General features: G+C 40.2%; 1 protein-coding gene across 3 annotated transcripts, besides 1 other annotated feature; it reads right to left on the minus strand.

Moving 5' to 3' along the window:
* Positions 606-10,121, minus strand: C3AR1 (complement C3a receptor 1). Of its 3 annotated transcripts, none has more exons than NM_001326475.2 (2): positions 10,040-10,121; positions 606-3,954 (listed from the first exon to the last, which is right to left on the minus strand). In NM_001326475.2, exon 2 carries the CDS (start codon positions 3,945-3,947, stop codon positions 2,499-2,501), a length of 1,449 nt encoding a protein of 482 aa, NP_001313404.1. In that variant the 5' UTR covers positions 3,948-3,954; positions 10,040-10,121; the 3' UTR covers positions 606-2,498. The 3 variants fall into 3 exon arrangements, with proteins under 3 accessions (NP_001313404.1, NP_004045.1, NP_001313406.1); NM_004054.4 differs by having other exon boundaries at positions 606-3,957; NM_001326477.2 differs by having other exon boundaries at positions 606-3,957; positions 9,983-10,121.
* Positions 20,891-21,392: an enhancer, noted in NCBI's record as "NANOG hESC enhancer chr12:8229725-8230226 (GRCh37/hg19 assembly coordinates)". NCBI's record gives its function as "activates a minimal SCP1, AML or CMV promoter by ChIP-STARR-seq in naive H9 embryonic stem cells {active_cell/tissue: H9 hESC(naive)}" and the evidence as "EXISTENCE:reporter gene assay evidence [ECO:0000049][PMID:30033119]".

Raw genomic sequence — 24,095 nt, forward strand, 5'->3', positions numbered from 1 at the left:
CATCTCTACTATAAATACAAAAATTAGCCGGGTGTGGTGGCAGGCGCCTGTAATCCCAGCTACTTGAGAGGCTGAGGCAGAAGAATTGCTTGAACCCGAGAGGTGGAGGTTGCAGTGAGCTGAGATCGTGCCAAGTGTGCCACTGTGCTCTAGCCTGGGCTACAGAGTGATACTTCATCTCAAAAAAAAAAAGAAAAGATATTATACTTTGGACAGGAGCTGTGTTCCCATCTGGGACTTCCTGGAGAAGATACAGTACAAAATAGTTACAGGTACTCACCAGGTTTTCATCAGAAATGAGGGAGCTCTAATTGTAGGAATTTCTTCAGAATACATTTCCAAAGCAAATGGAAAAGAAAAGGAGTCCAGAAATGCTGATTACTCGTTGTACATTAAATCTTTATAACTGCGTCAAGATTATTCACCTTGATATCCTATACACTAACCCCAGGAGTTTAGGTCTTATTCCCAGGGTCTTATGGGATGTGCTGGGGTTTCTGGAAGCCTGGCTAATTGCTATTATAGCAAGTCTATAGTCACTCACTAGGAGACTTATTTGCTGCATATTTAGAGATGTGATATATTCTGAATGTGAAACAAAAGGATTCATAAATCTCTGAGCCTCGCAAGGACCCATGAGAAAAAAAGCATTTATTCATATCAAATATATAAGCAAATTAATATATAAGCTGGAAAGGTAGCACTTCAAATCTTATGTCAGACATTCTTCACAACTGAAAGAATTCCTAGTGATTTGTAATTTTTCTGCATATACTTTATAAAAAATCTGTAGTCCAGACCCTCACCTCAGCCATTGAACAGATAGTGTCTTGCAGGTCTAAAACACATGTCATTTTCTGTTTTTAGACTACATCATTGTATTTGGTTTAGATGAGGCCACGTTGTGATACAAACAAGCCAGAAATTTCAGACGTTTGACACAAACATTTATATATACAGAAAAATGAGAAGGTGGTAGGGAGTTAGGTAATTTTGTTTTAAATGAAAAAGGGACAGAAGGAAAGCTATATAAATGGTTGGAGTGTATAGACAAAGTAGAAGAAAAATATGTGGTCATGAATGAATTAAAATATGGTTATTAATGAATGTTGGGATGCTGGATAAACAAATTAAAAATATGGGGTGCTTGGATAAACATCTTCATCTTTCAAAACAAGAAGTCGTTTTATCATGCCTCCAGAAAAGAGCAGCATAAGCACATGATTTAGAAACATCATGATAATTATCAAAGGAAACATCTAAAATTGTGCAAGGATTATCTCTGGGAAATGAGAGTGGGAGGAGGGAACTTTTGGGCACAGTGAGGTAGGAGACCTCATATTTCATTATATACCTTATTAAATTATTTTAAAACTATGTGCATGTATTACTTTGGCAAAGAAAAGGATTTAAAAAACCCAGAAGATATATTTGGTAATTTTGGCATGTAAGTTGCCTGTCGTCATGTTTTAAAATGTGATGGCAAGCCTGGTAGGGTACTCAGTTGCAGAGAGTAGAAGAATTGCTGCTCCATCCTCCACCCTCTTTCTCCTTCCACTTGAAATACTTTCTTAGAAAGTATTCATTTGGAGCAAGAGGAAGGGAGTAACTAGAATCTTACGAAATTAGAGGTTGTTTGAGGCACAAAGTCTGATGTGGAAGATTTGGAGGCTGGGGAGTAATAAGGAAATTAAGGAGCTTAGGAAGAGGAGTGGAAAATAGGTGCCCAACCGGTAGGCAGTTAGAAGAAACAGAACTCCCCAAACCACAGCTTTCATAACATTTCATGAGTCAGTTTTCACACAATAGATGCTTATTTAGTTGTAATAGTGGAAACTCTATGTAATAGTGGAAATTTCTATATCCTGTACCCAGGGGTGTTCCCAGGGACAGGCATCATTGCATAACCCTATGCTCCAGACTCAGTCTCATGGCTTCTTGTCTTCACAGGCATTTTCTTTTTGCACTTTCTTTTCGTTTAAAACCATCAACACCACACGACAACAAAGCATTAGGATATATGATCATCTTTCACTCACGTAGGAGAACAAGAAATGGTTTTAAATGGAATCTGGAAGACTTAGACAATGCTAAGGAAAAATTTAATGATGGAAATATCGACAAATATTCAACATCATTTAAAAACAAAGTAGCTTCTCTTATTTCACATAGCTTAGTTTGGGATAGAAATAGAACTAATGTTTACAATGATTCTTACATTTAGCATTAATCAGAAACGAGGGTTTGTTAAGTGCCCTTGCTGGGTCCCAACCCCCAGAGATTCCGATTCAGCAAGTCTGGGATGCGGCTTGAGAATTTGCATTTCTAACAAGTTTCTAGGTGATGCTGATGTCAATAGTCTGTGTACCGTTTGAGAACCGCTGGATTGATTCTTTGACAGTTTTTGAAGTCCGCTGCTCACCATATCACTTCATCCTCTTATAAACTTTCACTATGTGATTGCCTAAGAGCCCCTGCTTGTTGGCTGCTCCACATTTTCACACAGTTGTACTATTTCTTTCTGAAATGACATTGTTTGAGGGACAGTGGGTGGAACGTGTGAGCTCCTCACTGAAGGCTGCCTCCAGAATTCCCTGAATGGACTGCCTTGCTTTCTTCCTAAAATCTTTCCCCAAGAGGGCATAAAGGAAGGGATTAAAGCAACTATTGGCAGATGCTAGAGCAATGCATACATGATCCCAGGACATCAGAGTTTTCCCCAAGGGAGTTTCTGGGTCAGTAAGCAATGACAGGACTCCAAAAATGTGGTATGGAGTCCAGCAGACAAGAAAGACAGCCACCACCACCACGGCCACTCGAAAGGTTTTGCTCTGAGACTTGGCGAAGCGGCCCCTTTGCATTCGGAAGACAATGAAGCTGTAACAGGCTATCATGATAACAGAGGGCAGCAGGAAACCCACCACTAGCCTAGTGATCGTTATTGCCACGAGGGGTGTTGGCACTTGATCGTCATCTGTGAATTGGCCTAAATTGTAATAATCCTGGAAACCTTGTGGTAGCTCAGACTCGTAGAAGGAATTGCTAGAAGCGCTAGGGAACAGCTTTAAATGAGTAGAGAGAAAAGCATCAGAGTTATCCAGTGGGCTGGTTTCGTGATCTTCAATAGGAAACCCACTGGGGATTTTAGGTGAGACCACATCAGCAGGTTTAAATACATTAGAATACAGATTTTGACTTGTTAACCTAGCAGAACCCCTAGGGAGTGAATCTGCAGAAGGTCTTTGAAATGTTTGAGGTTGGAAGACAGTGGGGACTGTCCAAGGATGATCATTTGTTTGGAAAGAGGAAGGATCTAACCTATCATTCATTTCTCCAGGCGGCTGAACAATGTTTTCAAGAGACCTGTTTTCTAGTGGATCTCCATAAAAGTCTGGATAATCTAATGAGCTGGAGAGACCAAATTTGTAGCCACATCTATTATGGTTGTCTGTAGTGAAGATTTCCCGGTACACGAACACAGGAATGCACATCACAAAAGCCACCACCCAGATACATCCACAGATAGAGCAGGCCATCCCTACATTGCGATGATTCTGACACCAGATTGGCTTGAATACCACAAGACAGCGATCCAGGCTAATGGCAGTAAGCAGGAAGACACTGGCAAACATGTTGAGGACAATGATGGAGGGGATGAGCTTGCATAGGAACCTGCCGTAGGGCCACTGTCCCTGGAGAGCCAAGTGAGCCAGCGAGAAGGGCAAGGAGAGGCAGCAGAGGAGGTCCGCCAAGGTGAGGTGGAGGAACCAAATTGTGTTCACTGTCCGCTGCATCTTCAGGCCAGCCACCCACAGCACCAGCCCATTGCCTGGCAATCCCAGTAAAAAAGTAAGGCTGAGAATGACCATGGAGAGAATTACTGGGGGCTCATTCCATGGCTGTGAGAGTAGGTCAGTTGAATTGGTCTCAGCAGAGAAAGACGCCATTGCTAAACTTCTGCAAAAAGATGAAAAAAATGTTAAAACAAACAGTATCTTTTTGAAAATGCATACATATTCTTAGGATTCTAATCTTCCCACATAAAGATGTGGGATCATGAAACCAGAAGGTCCTCACGCTGTTTTAGTTTGCCTTCCTTCACCTCACACGGGACCACATAAAAGCATTCTCTGATAGACAATTATATTTATTTATTAATTTATTAATTATTTTTCAGACAGAGTCTTCCTCTGTCGCGCAGGCTGGAGTGCAGTGGATTGATTTCAGCTCACTGTAAGCTCCGCCTCCCGAGTTCAAGCGATTCTCCTGCCTCAGCCTCCAGAGTAGCTGGGATTACAGGCGTGCACCACCACGCCTGGCTAATTTTTGTATTTTTAGTAGAGACGGGGTTTTGCCATGTTGGCCAGGCTGGTCTTGAACTCCTGACCTCGGGTGATCTGCCTGCCTTGGCCTCCCAAAGTGCTGGGATTATAGGCATGAGCCACCATGCCCATCCTATGATAGACAATTTAAAATCTACTGTATTGATTTATGTGTGTATCAAAATCACAGCCTCATCTGGAAGTCCATATTAGTGTAAATTTCTCCTCTTTCTTGTACTTTCAATCTTGGTTTTTCCACTGGCTCCTTTCTTCACCCAGTGTGTTTAAAAATAAACAAATAAGCTAAATAAGTAAACACACAAAAATATCTGGACTGGAGGTCTCCAACCTGAGGTCACGAAAGGGTTTTAGGAAGTTCCATCACCACCTAAAATGATATGCAAAACTTCAACTTTACATATTCTCATTTCTCTGAGGGCAGAAGCTTCATCCACTCTCCCCACCAGATTTTCAGAGGACTCGCCGCCACAGAAAGAGGTACTCTAGACTCAGCGATGTCTTTTAGATACAACTCCATCTCCTTTTGCTTTCAAATTTTCCAAGAGTTGTTGGCCCTCTGCATTGACTTCCTCACTACCTATCATTTCTTTCTTATTTATTTGTGTTTTATGACCGTAACTTGGGAAAAGAGCTTTATTATTACAAAAGCAAAAAATATGCATGAAGAAAATTGGAAAATATAGACAAACAAAAAAGAAAATAAAAATATACTCACTAGTCAGTGATTATTATTTTAGCACCTGAATTTATATCCTCTTGACCTTTTTTTATGTGTGTGTGTGCATTTAGGTATACACATGCGTATCTTTAGACAGCAGGGGCTGTGATGGCTAGAAGCCTTCTAATATGTGGGACAGTGCTTCATTTATTTATTTATTATTATTATTATTATTATTTTTGAGACAGAATCTCCCTCCGTCATTCAGGCTGGAGTGCAGTGATACAATCTCGGCTCACTGCAGCCTCTGCCTCCCGGGTTCAAGCAATTATCGTGCCTCAGCCTCCTGAGTAGCTGGGACTGCAGTTGCCCACCAACGTACCAACTAATTTTTGTATTTTTAGCAGAGACAGGTTTTGCCATGTTGGCCAGGCTACTCTTGAACTGCTAGGCTCGAGTGATCCTCCCTCCTCTCCCTCCCAAAGTGCTGGGATTACAGGTGCGAGCCACCGCGCCTGGCCCTAACAAAAAAATTTTAATTGCCAAACACATGTATCATAACATTTACCATCTTCACCATTTTTAAGTACACAGTTCAGTAGTGTTTACCATATTCACGTTGTACAACCAATTTTCAGAACTTTTTCATCTTACAAAACTGAAAATGTGCTCAGGAAAGAATTCCCCATTTTCTCCTTTTCTCAGCCCCTGGCAATCACCATTGTACTTTCAATTTCTATGAATTCGACTACTTTAGATATCTGATCTAAGTGGAATCACACAGTATTTGTCTTTTTGTGTCTGGTGTATTTCACTTAGCATAATGTCTTCAAGCTTCCTCCGCGTTGTGGCATGGGTCAGAATTTTCTTTCTTTTTAAGGCTGAATAATATTCCATTGTAGGTCTATACTTCATTTTGTTTATCCAGTCATTCCACAGAGGACATCTGGATTGCTTTCACCTTTTGACTATTGTGAATTATGCATCAATGAACATGGGTGTAAATACATATTTTTTATACATTTTTTTCTTTTTTCAGTTAGCAGTCTCCACATTATACAATATGTACCATAAGGAATACCCGACCTTTATCTGTTTTGTTTCTGTTTGTAAAGATGGGGTCTTGCTATGTTGCTCAGGCTGGTCTCCAACTCCTGGGCTCTACTGATTCTTCCTCGGCCTCCCGAAGTGCTGAGATTACAGGCACGAACCACCATGCCCCCCCTTTTATATGATTATTTTTCAACTGTCCCTAAGACATCTTTTATAGCTGGCTTGTCCACGACAATATCTACTTCAGATCGCACTTTCTTCTTAAGTCTCTTAATTTAGCATAATTTCTCTTTTTCAAGGATACTGCTTTGTTTTGGGGCCTACGCCTACTGTTCTGAACACTAACTTCTTCTTTTTTTCTTTTTTCTTGAGATGGAGTTTCGCTCTTGTTGCCCACGCTGGAGTGCAGTGGCGCGATCTTGGCTCACTGCAACCTCCTCCTCCCGGGTTCAAGTGATTCTCCTGCCTCAGCCTCCCAGTAGCTGGGATTACAGGCATGCGCCACCATGCCCGGCTAATTTTTTTTTGTATTTTTAGTAGAGAACGGGGTTTCTCCATGTTGGCCAGGATGATGTTGATCTCCCGACCTCAGGCGATCCGCCCGCCTCGGCCTCCCAAAGTGTTGGGATTACAGGCGTGAGCCACCGCGCCCGGCCCTTTTTTTTTTTTTTTTTTTTTTTTTTGTGATGGAGTCTCGCTCTGTCTCCCAGGCTGGAGTGCAATGGTGCGATCTCGGCTCACTACAGCCTCCGCATCCCGGGTTTAAGCAATTCTTCTGCCTCAGCCTCCCGAGGAGCTGGGATTACAGGCGTGTACCACCACGCCCGGCTAATTTTTGTATTTTTAGTAGAGACGGGGTTTCACCATGTTAGCCAGGATGATCTTGATTTCCTGACCTGGTGATCCGCCCGCCTCGGCCTCCCAAAGTCCCGGGATTACAGATGTGAGCCACCAGGCCCGGCCGGCCACCAACTTCTTAATTCTTTGTAATGTATCTTCTGCTTCCATAATTCTGCTAAAATTACTTCTAAAAACCAAATCCAAACGTTTGTTTCTCAGTCACCTTCCACAATATGTGTCATTAGATACACTGACTTCTTAACACTCTCTTCTCTTGGCCTCTGTGATATTACCTTCCCCTAACTGTGAACATGCTCGTAAATGTACCCTGCTTTATAGCTTTCCTGAACAATTCACTATTCCAACTTAATGCCATTTTCCGTTCCATGGCTAATGCTGTTTACTTCTATCTGGAATTATGCCCTTCACCAAGTCTTCAGCTTCTTAATTTGTGTGTGTGCGCATGTTTGAACCTTTTTTTCATATTCTATATGCAATGACACATTTTATCTTGTACAATAATTATAATGGCTGTCTAATCTATTATTCTGGATTTAAACTTTATGATGGTAAAAAGGAGTCTTATTCATAAATGCTCATTTCACATAATTTAACATAATGCCTTATGAGACACCAAGGTTAAAGATTATGTGGAAAGGCTGGGCGCAGTGGCTCATGCCTGTAATCGCAGCACTTTGGGGGGCCGAGGGGAGAAGATCGCTTGGGGCTAGGAGTTCAAGACCAGCCTGGCTAACATGGCAAAATCCCATCTCTACCAAAAATACAAAAATTAGCTGGGTGTGGTAGCTCACACTTGTAATCCCAGCTACTTGGGAGGCTGAGGCACGAGAATCGCTTGAACTGGAGAGGTGGAGGTTGCAGTGAGCTGAGATTGCACCACTGCACTCCAGCCTGCATGACAAAGAGACTCTGTCTCAAAAGAAAAAAAAAGAAAAAAAAAATTACTTGAATAGATGGATGCCCATTTTGGGGGTTGACTTTTTTTTTCTTTTGCAATTACATCTAAAATTCTAATTTGTATCCATGTAATCCTTACCCAGGCCTCTTCCTTAATTCCCATGCTGTCCCTTTTAACTTTCTTTTTGTGAAATTCCTAATTTTTACTGGATAAAATAACATTTTACTTTTATAGAGGCTCAAAATATTTTTGTGACTTGAAAGTAGTTCTGCTGAGTCAGCCAAATATTGCCATAGGGCCTCATATGATTAGCAGAAGTTAAAATAGCAAGTCAACAAAATAATAAAAAAGAAGACATGGGCTGGGCACAGTGGCTCACACCTGTTATCCCAGCACTTTGGGAAGCCAAGGCAGGCAGATCACCTGAGGTCAGTTTGAGACCAGCCTATCCAACATGGAGAAACTCTGTCTCTACTAAAAATACAAAATTAGGTGGGCATGGTGGCACATGCCTGTAATCCCAGCTACTCAGGAGGCTGAGGCAGGAGAATCGCTTGAACCTGGGAGGCAGAGGTTGTGGTGAGCCGAGGTTGCGCCACTACACTCCAGCCTGGGCAACAAAAGCAAAACTCCATCTCAAAAAAAAAAAAAGAAGAAGAAATTATTCTCATTCCCCTTTCCATGGCCTTGTCTACTCAGATATTTAAATACTATCACGGTACCCCCCTAAAATATTGAGAGAAGAATAGAGTCATGGGATGCTAGGGCTGAAAGAAAACTTGGTAATCATCTCTCCTCTCCTCATTTTGTTGTTGTTGTTGTTGTTTGTTTGTTTGTTTGTTTGTAGAGATAGGGTCTTGCTATGTTGCCCAAGCTGCTCTCAAACTCCTGGACTCAAGCAATCCTCCCATGTTGGCCTCACAGTGTGCTGGGGTTACAGACATGAGCCACTGTGCCCAGCCTACGTTTTCTCTGCTTTTATTTCTCAAGTTTGACAGTGAAACTCAGCAAATTAGATTACAAGCATATAATCATTACTAGGGAGGTTCTTGGATTTCAGGTCCGAGGACTGTTAGGCAAATGCTGTTTTTACTACCAAAAAAAAAAAAAAATCACATTAAAAAAAAAAAGATATATGGTATTGCTAATAAAGGGGAAGCTGCCGAGAACTGCATGAACTGAAGTAGCAGGGACTGCAAACAGCAAAATTTTAATAAAAATAGAGTTATCTGTCATGAGCTATATGTTAAATATTGTTATTATCTGTTTTGAAATGAAAGTATGTAGGAGTCAGGGATTAAAAGTCCTTTAGAACAAGGCTGGGTGTGGTGGCTCACGCCTGTAATCCCAGCACTTTGGGAGGCAGAGGCGGGTAGATCACCTGAGGTCAGGAGTTTGAGACCAACCTGGCCAACATGGTGGAACCCTGTCTCTACTAAAAATACAAAAAAATTTAACTGGGTGTGGTAGCACGTGCCTGCAATCCCACCTACTCAGGAGGCTGAGGCAGGAGAATCGCTTGAACCTGGGAGGCGGAGGTTGCAGTGAGCTGAGATCATGCTACTGTACTCCAGCCTGGGCAACAGAGTGAGACTCTGTCTCAAAAAAAAAAAAAAAAAAAAAAAGTCCTGCAGAGCAAGATTACTTTTTACATTTCTTCAAGTTAATTTGGCTAAAAATACCATACCTTTATGTGTTTAAGATTAGTAGAGGATTAAAAAAAATTATTACTAAGTTGACCAGCCGTAATTTAAAGGTAATTAATATCCTGAAACTAAAATTCCACTGTGATAGAGAAAGAAAAGTGGACCCCAGAATCAAATTGTAGTAATAGGATAACAGAGTCAGTAGCAATAAGGAATGGGCAAAAGAATAAAAAAAAGAAAGAGGAAATGGAAAGGGAAAAAAAGTGCAATCAATTATTTGAAAAACAAATTAATGGGGACAGCTGGAATCAAAGTTCAGGGTGAAATACATAGCCAATTCAAAGAAAGGAAAGAAATGATGTAAAAATTCACTATTAATTCCACTATGAAAATATTAAAAGCAAAGACAAATGCAATGTGGAATATTTAGAAAAAGGAAGTTAGACATAGAGATAAGATAAAAGAATTCAAAGTCAGAGAAGGAATAGGGGAAATAGAAGATAGTGACACTCAAACTCATTACCTATAATGAGCAAAACAGGCTAAGCACAAGTCATCAGGTAGGTCTAGGTTTTCTTACCAAAAAACTGAGACAGTAGCTGAAGGCTTCAGCACCTGGATGTCTCCACGAGTCCTGTCTGGTCCCCACACTTAGCCACAGTGAAGTCATGAAGTATGGCAAGAAAATTTGCTGAGCTTTCTCTTCTTCTGTTCTCTCTCTGTTTCCGGCAATAAGTTAAGTCTTATGCTCTAGACCACTATCTGACCTCACAGGAAGAGTTTCAAAGTGAGTCATTTCTAAATGGCTTAGAAAGGCAAAGCAGGAAAACAGAAGTAGGAGTTTATAATCCTGAGACATTTTCTGCAGCACACAGAGAATGGTTAGAGAGAGGGTACCTCTGTACATAGGGTTCAACTTTATAGGTTTTGTTTAGAAATGAAAAAAAAAAGACTCTATGAGATGTGAGGGTTGGAGTGGGGAGTGGTTGGGGAGGAATGACCTGAATAAACTCATTTAATTAATCTCAAATAACATATCTGAAATGCTTGATATATGTGAAAAACGGTGCCATGTCAAAATCAGGATGAATTAAGCTATATTCTAATCTCCAGAGATTCACAATCGAGTGGGAATATGTACCCATACATATACACACAAAGCTGTAATACAAACTAGGCTATAATAATAGAAGTAACAATAGAAGTAAAATAATAGAACACTCTAGCCAGGGGTATATATAACCCAGGGCAATCTAGGAGAGTCTTAAGATAGAAATAAGATGTGGGCAAGTACTTAATTAAGTACCTGTAGGAATTCTAGAGACAGAAAAAGGTGAAAAGCTGCTTAGGCTATAAGTGGAGCCTAGTCAAAGGCAGGTAGGTGGTAGAGGGCAGGTAGGTGGGGAGGTAGGTGGGAGAGCTTAGTGGTCACTGGAGAACAGGCTGGAGTCTAGGTGCTGTTTCATCAGGAAGGAGTACAGAAGACTGAAGGTAATTCCTGCTTAATGAATACTATGCTGTAAATAATTCTTATATTATTCTTTTAGATATATGCATATACTCTTTTAGATATATGCATATAAAATAAAGTTTATTTGGGTCAAATGTATTTGAACACTGTTGTCTGTGATATAGGCTTCAGTCTATATTAATCAACTTGTCCAAACCATAATATCTGCTCCTCTGCTTGTTTGCAGTCAAGTCACCACGGAATATTTTTGAGGCAGAAAGATCAAAAGAAAAATGCCAAGAGTTGAGTAGTATTTATTAGTTTATTTCCATTGTCATCATCTAATTACAAAAATAGAACATACTTTGTTCTAGAAGAGATAAATTGAAATAATACAGAATTATAATGGGTAAAAAAAATGAAAGATTTTCTTTTCAATTCCACTGCTCGAAGTAACTATTTTTAATAGGTTAGTGTTCATTCTTCCTGATTTTTTTTTTTCTGAATATAGCACACATTTTGTTTGTTGGAGACAGGGCCTCAGTCTGTCGCCCAGGCTGGAGTGCAGTGCCACCATCTTGGCTCACTGCAACCTCTGCCTCCTAGGTTCAAGCAATTCTCCCACCTCATCCTCCTTAGTAGCTGGGACTACAGGCATGTGCCACCACAACCGGCTAATTTTTATATTTTTTCGGTAGAGATGGGGTTTTGCCATGTTGGGCAGGCTGGTCTTGAACTCCTGAGCTCAGGTGATCCACCTGCCTCAGCCTCCCAAAGTGCTGTGATTACCGGTGTGAGCCACCCCACCCGGCCTAACACACATTTTTCTAAAAGGTAGTTTTGAACATAAATGGGATGGTAATTTATGTGTGATTTTATGTCTTGCTTTTTTACTTAACAATATATCAAAACATACTTCCATGTTAGTACATATAATCCTATTGATTATTTTGGGTTTTCTTTCCTCCAATATTTGGAAATATTGAATAATATAGGTATCCAGAAAGCATATAAAATGTAGGATTATCATATATGTACATATATATCTAATTAAAATATATTTTATAAAAACAATTAATTCCCCATGGTAAAAATTAAATATGAGAAGATTAAAGTAAAAACCAAAATTTCCTAAACACCTAGCTATCCTCTTTCCACTTTCCAGATGTAGTCTCTCTCTTAAATACGCATATTCTACTACGCATATTGTTTTGTTCTATTTTTTCCACTTATCTTTTTATATCAGGACATCTTGGCCCAAATTACACTTTTTTTTTTTTTTTTCCTGAGACAGAGTTTTGCTCTTGTCACCCAGGTTGGAGTGCAATGGTGCGATCTCGGCTCACTGCAACTTCTGCCTCCTGGCTTCAATCGATTCTCCTGCCTCAGCCTCCCAAGTAGCTGGGATTACAGGTGCCCACAACCACACCTGGCTAATTTTTTGTATTTTTAGTAGAGACGGGGTTTCACCATGCTGGCCAGGCTGGTCTCGAACTCCTGCTCTCAGGTGATCTGCCCACCTCGGCCTCCCAAAGTCCTGGGATTACAGGCGTGAGCCACTGCGTGCGGTCCCAAATTATACTTTTTAAGTTGCTCCATATTATTCCACTTACTTAATTATTTTTCGTGGAATATTGTTTTTATCCAATTTTAAATGATTATAAACAAAACTCAATGAGCACTATAGTATTTACATGTATTTCTGTAGAATAGAGTTTTAGAATTGGAATTGCTAAGTCTAAGAGCACACACTTTTACATTTTGAAAGATACAGAATTTTCCACTAAAGAGACTTCACAAATTGTCACACTAAGTTCAGTACCATAAACATATACTCTGCTTCTGCTCCTGCTCCTGATACAGTGTGTTGCACTGCGGAAGATGGAGGAGGAATGAGAGATGTATATAACTGTAATACAGTAGGGGCTGTTAGGAGGGCACAATACACCCTGGGAATATGAAACCGTAAGAGACTAATTCTCATGGAAGCAAACCCACGATGATGCACTGAAGAGGTAGCATTGGGGCCATAAGGATGGGTAGAAATTTGTCAGGCAATAGTACTGTAAAATAATACCTTGTCTCTCTCTCTCCCCTACCATGAATTTCTTGTCTGTCTCCAGTGGCTGCTACCTTGCCTGGTATAACAGGTCTGTGGCACCAATAAGTGAATGAATGTTTGTTTGAAAAGGATGTTGACATCTGAATATAATTCAAATAATTAACTTGAGTCCTTAGAGTTGTTTCTGGCATGAATTCACTTTTACTAATTTCTCTCTCTCTAAAGATTACACAGCAATGTGGCTGGGTGTGGTGGCTCATGCCTGTAATCCCAGCACTTTGGGAGGCCAGGGCGGGCGGATCACCTGAGGTTAGGAGTTCGAGACCAGCCTGGCCAACGTGATGAAACCCTATCTCTACTAAAAATATAAAAATTTAGCTGGATGTTATACAGCAATTTAAACTGGTTCAAGAGCTCCCAGCTGTGTTCTTTGGATTTTTCAGGAAGAAAATTACTAAAAACTTGTTGTGAATAGTGCTCCTGTTTCTGGATGACCTCTCTCTCTTCTTAAAAAGTACTGGTTGTTTTGTGGTGTATTGTGGAAAGCTCTGAGGAAGTTATGTGATTCACTTCTGTTTTGTTCTATTCTGAATATCTAAATATAAATTTCTAAAAGCAGAGATCAGATGCTTTGGAAAAAAGAAAATTTGAATGTATGTTGCAAAGGCAGCCATATTAAAACCTTTTACCAGTCACTTGACTAATTCTACACTGTAATTGATGGAGATCTGTATTAAAGCTTGTTTGGCCAAAATAAAAATGTTAGAATCACAGATCTCTAGCTTGTTTTCTCTGAGAGAGTTAAATACATTATAAAGTTACTGTCCTTAAAGACTTCAACAAAAAATGATTAAATCCGTTATTAGATAATTTGTAGTAACCTATGCTCTAAATTAAATATAACTAAGTGCCAAAAACTGTGGATGACACAGACAAATGCAATGGCTGGTCAGCAAAGGGTAAGATTGATTGATGGTGGCTAGAATTAGCTGGAAAATTTTTATGGAAGAAAAGATTCATGAGGTGAATAGAGCACTAGACCAGGAATGTGGAGACATACATTTGACTTTCAGTTTTGTAATAACTACTCGACCTTGGGCTAGATACTTGACCTAGAAATTTGTTGTTGTTTTCTTAGGTGGAAAATTAAAGGTTGGATTAAATGGTCTTTCAGGTTTCTTTTACATCTAACAATCTATAATTCTCTCATTTGAGCAGGGAGATTGAAGCTGAGAGGGCATTTCAAGGGAAAAGCATGAGCACATATTAAGGGGGAGGTGAGCCCAACACAACTAAATGGCACAGGTACATGGCGTTGGTGGGAGTAAAAAGGGTATTCTAAGGACTAAGGGAGGGCAGGTAGAAAGCCTGGGTTTAAGTCTCAACTTTGCCACTTACTAATTGTGTTACTGAAAATAAGCTTCTCACACTGTATGTTCTCGTTTTCTTATCTGCAAAACAGGGACTGTGTCAGATATCATCTATCGATACTCAAGCCGCCCACACCCTTCCTTATTATCTATTAGAAACCTATGGACTATGTCTCCTCTACCTTCTCTCCAGCTGGGTTCTGAATAGGATCTTCCGGAAGGACATGTTCATGTGTCAATGGAAAGTAAGGAGAAAGGGGAACTATTGCTTTTAATTTCATAACTTGGTTGTGCACAGAGATTGCAAATCTATTTTAAAAGTAAAAGAGGCTGGGCGCGGTGGCTCATGCCTGTGTCCCAGCACTTTGGGAGGCCGAGGCGGGCGCATCATGAGGTCAGGAGATCGAGACCATCCTGGCTAACACAGTAAAACCCCGTCTCTACTAAAAATACATAAAGAAATTCGCCAGGCGTGGTGGTGGGCGCCTGTAGTCCCAGCTACTCTGGAGGCTAAGGCAGGAGAATGGCGTGAACCCGGCAGGCGGAGCTTGCAGTGAGCCGAGATCGCGCCACTGCACTCCAGCCTGGGTGACAGACCGATACTCCGTCTCAAAAAAATAAAAATAAAAAAATTTTAAAAAAAGTAAAAGAAAGCGGTCACTCACGCCTGTAACCCCAGCATTTTGGGAGGCCAAGGCAGGCAGATTGCCTGAGCCCAGGAGTTCAAGACCAGCCTGGGTAATATGGCAAAACCCCCCTCTACTAAAAATACAAAAAATCAGCTGGGCATGGTGGTGCACACCTGTAGACCCAGCTACTTGGGAGGCTGAGGCGGGAGGATGGCTTGAGCCTGGGAGGTTGAGGCTGTAGGGAGCTATGATAGTGCCACTGTACTCCAGCTCAGGCAACAAAGAACCTGTCTCAAAAAATAAATAAAAATAAAAATAAATAAAAGAACAAAGACTATGAAATAGAATAAACATTAAAATTGTTAAAGGAAAAGCAATATGGGAGAAAGGGATATCATTTAGCACCTGATTTCTGCAATGGAGGGGGCAGGTGTGGCAGCAGTGGCTGCTGGCTGCTGGAGGCTCCAGCAGGATTAATGGTTCCAGCAGCAAGCAGCAGCAGCAGCAGCAGGCCTGTGAGTTTAGATTCTTGTTAAGTGGCAGCAAGAACTCCCATCCTTAAAAGCAAGTGCATGCTTGCCTATTCTAGGTAATATCCTTTTCCATTTTTTCTCTTCCAATTGTAGGAAAGCATCCTCCTGCAGTAATTGATACACAGCTAATATCATCTTTTCACTTTTTATTCCTCTACTTCTTTTGACACTTCTGTAGCCAAGTCTTGTTTTTCTTTTTCTTTTCTTTTCTTTTTTTCTTTTGAGACAGGGTCTTGCTCTGTTGCCCAGGCTGGAGTGCAGTGGCTTGATTGTAGCTCACTGCAGCCTTGAACTCCTGGGCTCAAGTGATCCTCCTGCCTCAGCCTCCCGAGTGGCTGGGACTACAGGCATGCACCACCACATCCAGCTATTTTTAAATGTTGTTTTGCAGAGATGGGGTCTTACTATGTTGCTCAGACTGGTCTTGAACTCCTGGCCTCAACTCCCAAAATGCTATGATTACAGGCGTGAACCACGATGGCTGGCCCAAGTTCTTGTCTCATATATCCCTTTTGAAGTACCTACAATGGTTTTAGATTTCCTGGCTGGAAAATGACTAATTCAGGGAATATTCTCTACCTACTCTATAGTATTGTCAGGAGTAGATTAACAGACACACAAAGCTCTTAAAACAGTACCAGCATATACGGAACTTAACAAATATTAGCCATTATTATGTCAAAAAACTAATGTGAATTACAGTTGCTTATTAGATCAAAATTATTTTCCATCTTAGACAAGTGGCAAATAATTTACAAAATGTTCCCTTCCCAGTGTGAAATCATACCCTTTTTGTCAAGTCAAATTCTAACCTATGGCCCTCAAAGATGTAGATTAGATGTACTCTTTCCCCGCTAGAGTATAACTGCCTAATTATCCACATAGTTATGGTAAAGCCAAGTAGGAACACAAATTGAAGAACAAAGTTGCCCAGAAATTAAAAATAATTCAGTTAAAAAGTAAATAAAATAAAAAACTGTTAACTCTACCATAATAACAAGTATCTATGCCTGGATCTTGAAAGAAATCAGCCAAATTTGGCATGATAACTCAGACAAATCTTAGTGATTTAAAGAAAATCTAACAAACTTTGCTTATTCTATCGATTTATTGGTTTTTGACTTTCTATTATAGAGTGTATCTAGAATAGCCAGGTAGGAGAGGCTGAAGTGGAAGTAAACTGAATGTAGGTACATGTTTCATTAACACCCTTTGTGACTTTAGTTCTATAAAGGCAAAAGTGAACAAGGAGATAAGGGAGGAGACCACCCCTCATATTGTCTTATGCCCGATTTCTGCCTCCAAAGAAAGAAGAAGTAAAAACTAAAAGGCAGAAATGGAATCCACAAGCAGACAGCCTGGTGCCACACCCTGGGCCTGGTAGTTAAAGATCGACCACTGACCTAATTGGTTATGTTATTTATAGATTACAGACATTGTATAGAAAAGCACTGTGAAAATCCCTGTCCTGTTCTGTTCTGATCTAATGACAGTGCATGCAGCCCCTAGACACGTAACCCCTGCTTGCTCAATCGATCACGACCCTCTCAGGCGGACCCCCTTAGAGTTGTGAGCCCTTAAAAAGGACAGGAATTGCTCACTCAGGGAGCTCGGTTGTTGGAGACGTGAGTCTTGCTGAAGCTCCCAGCCGAATAAAGCCCTTCCTTCCCTTCTTTAACTCGGCGTCTGAGGGGTTTTGTCTGCGGCTTGTCCTGCTACAGAGACAAGTCTTCTGTGTATGTCCAACTGATCTAATGAGAAGTCATAGAAGCTTTTTTTTTGGAGGGGAGACAGAATAGAGGACTACTGAGGGGTAGATGGCTCTCGTCAATGTAGGTCAAGATATATTTTTGATACAAAAATTAGCCGGGCATGGTGGTGCAAGCCTGTAGTTCCAGCTACTAGGGAGGCTGAGGCAGGAGGATTGTTTGAACTTGGGAGGCAGAGGTTGCACTGAGCTGAGATCGTGCCACCGCACTCCAGCCTGGATGACAGAGGAGACTCCGTCTCAAAAAAAAAAAAAAAAAACAACAAAGAAGAAAATGTGTTCTCCATTTCTTTTCTCCTTTGCTCTTTCTTCTCCATTTCATTCCCACTAAAATGCAGGCAAAAGAAGGTGAAGACACATAAACATTTCAGATAAAATGCTCCTTCTAAATCTCTTCAAATCATACTACACTGGGCAGATTTGTTAGCCATTAGGAGAAAAGGTGTTTTTTTTGTTTTTTTTTTTTTTGAGATGGAGTCTCGCTCTGTCGCCAGGCTGGAGTGCAGTGGCATGATCTTGGCTCACTGCAATCTCTGCCTCCCGGGTTCAAGCGATTCCCCTGCCTCAGCCTCCCGAGTAGCTGGGACTACAGGCATGCACCACCACACCTGGCTAATTTTTAGTATTCTTTTAGTAGAGACAGGGTTTCACCGTGTTGGCCAGGATGGCGTCGATCTTCTGACCCTGTGATCCACCTGCCTCGGCCTCCCAAAGTGCTGGGATTACAGGCGTGAGCCACCGTGCCTAGCGAGAAAAGGTTTCAAAGTGGCAATTATATTTTAGTTGTTATGTTCTGTTGTATATCTTCTGAAGTGCCAAAATATCAATTGTATCATTGTTTATATTTCCCTAAACAAACATAATACTTATTTCAAATGCTAGTTAGTATTAGTAATAACGTACACAGGATGGTTTATTAACTAGGCTCTGTGCTAAGCACTTCATTGGTTGTATGCCGTTTAACTCACGCAGCAACCCAATGATGAGATAGGTAACTCATTGTCAAACAGGACACTGACATGCAAAGTAGCTATTTACCTAAGTTCACACCACTATGTAAATGACAGAGCTAGAACCAAAGAGCTGGCCTCCAGAGCTTCTGCTGTTAGCTGGAATGTTTCCCTAAAAGTGAATACTCTCATTATTTTAGGCAGTCATATTTTATAAAGTCATGGGGAACACATCAAACGATCAATACTTTTTTTTTTTTTTGAGACTGAGTCTCGCTCTGCCTCTCAGGCTGGAGTGCAGTGGCGCAGTCTGGGCTCACTGCAATCTCCACCTCCCGAGTTCGAGCGATTTTCTTGCCTCAGCCTCCTGAGTAGCTGAGATTACAGGCGTCTGCCACCATGTACGACCGATCAATACATAATCTTGTTTTATGTGTGTTTCTGTTTAAAGATGGCTTATTTATTAATTAATTATTTTTAAGACGGAGTCCTCCTCTTGTCGCCCAGGTTGGAGTGCAGTGGCGCGATCTCGGCTTACGGGAAACTCCGCCTCCTGGGTTCAAGCGATTCTCCTGCCTCAGCCTCCCAAATAGCTGGGATTACAGGCGCCCGCCAGCACACCCAGCTAATTTTTGTATTTTTAGTAGAGACTCTGTTGGCCAGGCTGGTCTCAAACTCCTGACCTCAGGTGATCCACCCGCCTCGGCCTCTCAAAGTGCTGGGATTACAGGCGTGAGCCACCACGCTCGGCCAATGGCTTATTTCATATACTTTGCTGATTTATCAGCATTGACCTTTATAACGAAAGCTCTATAACTCATCCCTGAATGAAGTGTAGCTAACACGCATGTTTCCTCTGTAAGGTGTATCAAAGCCTTCTTATGTTTAGGAATACTAGACAGTATTTCAGCACTACGCTCGGTGGCCATTTTAAATGATAAAATCATTTAAAAACAACAAAAAACCAAAAATTCAAAAAAAGGGGCACTAAATAGACTGCGAAAAGGATACTTGTTTATAGTATGAAAGCTAAAACAAGAAGGCAGTATCACCTTGTTTGACAGCTGGATAAATTCTAGTAAGTACCTGATTTGCAAATATGTGATCCATAAATAACAAGTATCTACTGTAATCGCTGTAACTATTGTATATTCTGTCCCTTTTATAGATGAAGAGGTTGAGGACAGAAGGAAAACATTATTGACAGAGAATTGCATATTGGTTAACGACCTGGGTTTAGAGATAATTAGATATATGTCTACCACTTATGGCTGTGGACAAATTATTTAATCACAATGTATCAGTTTCTTCATCTGTAGAGTGGGCATGATCATAATAGTACCTATGTCATATGATTAGTGATATAATGCATATAAGCATGTAGAACAGGACTCAGTACTTGATAAATGTTAGTTATTACTATCATTTAACCATAGACATAGCAATGCTAGTAATACATACAAACATTTAACTATAAGTTATAGTCAGCTGTTGCTTTGGTACCAGGAATTTCGGGTTCTGTTCCTGACACTTAAATATTAGATGAGCAAGTCACTGACCTTTCTGTAACTCAGCATACTTTTTATGAAAATGGGAATAACATTACCTACTCTACGAGATTGTTGTGAGAAATAAATGAGATAGTATGCGTGAAAGCATTTTGTAATCTTAAAGATCTGATATCAATATTACGTAATATGATCGTCATTATTATTATACAGAATGTTTATTGTTAAAATCGGTATCTGAGAACTTAGTTGCTCACCATAATTTATTGTGTGTTATATCATATATTTGGAAGAATGCATATAATTAATAGATACATTCTGAATAATAAAATTACCATCCATGAGCTTACCATTCAGCATCAGAAATAGAATGCTACCATTTTCTCTCAAGCACCCTCTGCAAACTACCCTGATCTACCTCCTGCACCTCCTTACCAAGTAATCACAACTGGAAATTTTGTATTTATCATTTTCTGTTTTTTTGAGACAGAGTTTCGCTCTTGTGTGCAGGCTGGAGTGCAATGATATTTGTTAATGGTATTTGTGCAATGGCACGATATTTGTTAATGGTATTTGTGCAATATTTGTTAATGGTATTTGTGCAATGGCATGATCTTGGCTTACGGCAACCACTGCCTCCTGAGTTCAAGTGATTCTCCTGCCTCAGCCTCTGGAGTAACTGGGATTACAGGCACTTGCTACCACGCCCAGCCTGTATTTATCATTTCCTTACATTTCATAAAATGTTTACACAATCTTAGATTTGCCTTTTTTTGAAGATTGTATAAATGGGACAGTTTTATTTTTAAATTTATTTTCCCCGCTTAGTATTTTATTTTTGTCATCTATTCATGTTGATGCACACAGCAAGTAGTTCATTTGTGTTCACTATTTATACTATCCCATTGTTTGTTCTAATGATGGACATTTATTTCCAATGTCTTGCTATTATAAATAGTAAACAGCACTGCAGTGAAATTCTTGCGCATTTTTCCTACTGTATATTTGCAGGAGTTGCTCTACCTAAGTAGGGAATTCAGGGGTAATGAGGTATGAGCATATTCCATTTTACCAGATACTGCCGAAGTTCCCATTGCCCCACATCCTTACCGGCACTGGGTATTGACAGATATTTAAATTTTTGACAATCTGGGGTGTAAGAAATGTCCTCTAAGGCTCTTCAATGAATAAGCTCATCACTCTGGAAATCAGCTATTTCCTTAGTAAGTCATCTGCACTCTAGTAACCATAGCAGGTAGTAGAAATTCTTTCTGCTGGGTTTTCGTTTGATGGTGTAGTAGGGGGATGATGGAGTTGGGGGAAAAAGCAGATATCTTTAGTTTTCGGGCCTGGTCCTTCTCCTAATTACACCCAGCACCTGCCAGATGCCTCACATCCTCATTAAGCAGCGGAGAGTCACAAAGGGTGAGTCATTGCTGTAAATCTCCCTGGGGCCAAGTTTTATTCATGTTCTGAAGCTATTATATAGCTTGGACATGTAGGAGGAAAGGATATTTCCCTTAAATCATCAGGAAACAGAATTCTAACTTAAAGTGTCCCAAGTGAGACGTATCCTTTGCTTTTCAGGCTGTAGAACCTGATGTCTTTTCTTCATGAATAGTATTAATACTAAAGTAGCTTTGATCCTAAGTTCTGTAGTTATAGGACTCTCAATCTTTTTTATTTTTTTCTCTCTCTAGGTTTCTAGATTATTGTCATTTAAACTACAAATATTGATTGAACACCTACCATGTGCCAGGCACTGTTCTAGGTGTTGGGGATACAGCAGTAAATAAATCAAAGTTAGAATTCATTACCCCTCAGATTTGAAGATTGTCAAATTTACAAGCAAAGCCAGTTTAACCTGACACAGCAGCTACAGCACAACACTGCAGAGCAAGGAGTAGGTATGGCTAGATTTAGGTCAATGGCTGACTTTAACTGCTATTTGATTAAAATATGAGATCATGGTAAGACCAACACAGCGTTTTCAACTTTAAAAAATGTTCGTTTTTTGAATTGTTGAAATTGATGGAGGCCTTACCTATCTCACAGTGGAAAGAGTGTTAGTTTGTAAATCATGAGATATGAAGTTCTGATCCTGACTGCATCACCAACTATGTCTTTGGATGAGATCTGAACTGAAAGGTTACTAAGGTCCACTCTAGCTAAAAAAAATCCTGTAAACTATGATTCGAATCTCATTACAATTTTTATTACCACTGCATGTGTAGCAACTTCAGGATTTAGGAAAATTATACTTTAACAAATACCATTGATAGCAGTACCCTGAGCAATGATAAGTCAGAATTTAATCTGTGATAAATACCTTTTTGTGTGTGCGTAAAGAAGAGCTGGGAAATATGTTACTGGTAGGGCTAAGTTAAGAAAACCATAAGTTATTTTCATGTTTAAATGACATCTAAAAGTGACCAAGATTTGAGATGGGTAAGGCCTCCATGAATTTCAACAATGCATTTAAAAAAACAAGCTTTTGTTAAACTTGGTTAAATCATATACTTACAAAGCCACATACAAGAACACTAGCTTGACTTAGCACAGTCTACTCAGCCCAGAACCTGTGAGCTGTGTAGCTACTACCCCCCGGTGGTGGGCAAAGATAAGTTCGAGACAAGACATTTTTAATTTTTTTATTTTAGTTTATTTTTTTTTGATACGGAGTCTCATTCAGTAGCCCAGGCTGGAGTGCAGTGGCATGATCTTGACTCACTGCAACCTCCGTCTCCTGGGTTCAAGCAATTCTCCTGCCTTAGCCTCCCAAGTAGCTGGCATTACAGGCATGCACCACTATGACCAGCTAGTTTTTGTATTTTCAGTAGAGACAGGGTTTCAACATGTTAGCCAGGCTGGTCTTGAACTCCTGACCTCAAGTGATCTGCCTGCCTCAGCCTCCCAAGGTGCTGAGGTTACAGGCGTGAGCCACTGTGCCGGCCCAAGACATTTTTAATTATTTTGATTGGGAAAGAACAAATCATCCCTGTTAAGGCAGGCTGAAATGATCATTCATTTAGCAAATAAACATACAGAGTTCTTACTATAGTCTGAAAACTGTGCTAGATACTGGGAAAACACAAACCTGTTTCTTTCCCTTGGAAAACAGAGATGCCAACAAGCAGTTGAATGCAATGTGCTAAGAACTAAAACAGCTGTACAAATGTTGTGGGAGCATAGAGGAGGCAGTTACCAGTTCTATTTAGAGAAGTTGAGGAAAACTTCTGAGATAAATTGATATTTAGATTAGATCTAAAGGCATCTTACCAAGGAATGAACGGGAAGTGCATTTCAGTCTGGACAAATATGTTCAGCATGAATAAAAATGGCATGTATGGAAAATTATGGCAATGTGATCAGTTAAGCTAGAGAAGACATCGTGGGTGAGAGTGAGGAAGACTGTATTTTTTTCTGTTTCTGTTGAGATGAAGCAAGAGAAGGGAAATTTAAATTTATATAAAGAAAAAACATGGTTAAGTAAGGGTTTTTTTTTTTTTTTTTTTTTAGGTGAAAGGACTTGAATATACTTACATGGTGAGGGAAAGGGGTGAATGGAAAATGAGTTTTAAGATACAGGAAAGAAAGGAGATAACTGATTAACCAGGTCCCTGAGGAGATTGGTCCCTGAGGAGAATCCAGGGCACACACAAGTGGATAGGAGAAAGAATAGATGAAGATGCAGATAGGAGTATGAATAGGGTGTCATTAAGTTGAGAGAGTTCACACAAACTTTATTTTCTTAGGGAAGTAGTAAGATGTTTTACCTGTCAAGAAAGAAAAAGAGAAGACTTAGAGTTGAAGGCCTGAAAGGGCAGCAAAATTTGGAACAACCATTAAAGGGAATGAAAATAAAAACTAGCAATGGCAAATCTGGGTGTTAAGGGCAAAGCTGAGACTCAAACCCATAAACTTTTAGGGACACCAATCTTTATAATTGTGTGATTTGCTTTTGGAGAATGATGGAGGGAGATGGTTGGAATATATAAGACTGGAGTCTTTTGGGTTGGCTGTGATGGAAAGACAAAGAGGAAAGGAAACTTAAGGATGCTGGCAAGAGAACTGTTGAAACAAGGAGATGGGAGGAATAAAGAGAAGGCTAACAATGTGCAGAACATGAAGAAGAACAGGTGAGGTAGAAAAGAGAGGTAAAGATAGTTAGAATTTATGTCAAGAGATTGTATGGCTAGGAAGAGTTAACTATATGGGCTTTGAAATCTCTAAAAGATTTGGGAGAAGAGGAAGAGTATAAACTAGTAAGAAGGTGAACCAGAAGCCAGAATCCTCCAAAAATGATTGCCAGTGATAACACAGAACAGAGAAAAAAAAAGAGGTACAATGTGGTGTAGTCATATGA

The sequence above is a fragment of the Homo sapiens genome, chromosome 12 (assembly GCF_000001405.40).
Source record: "Homo sapiens chromosome 12, GRCh38.p14 Primary Assembly".
Lineage (NCBI taxonomy): Eukaryota > Metazoa > Chordata > Mammalia > Primates > Hominidae > Homo > Homo sapiens.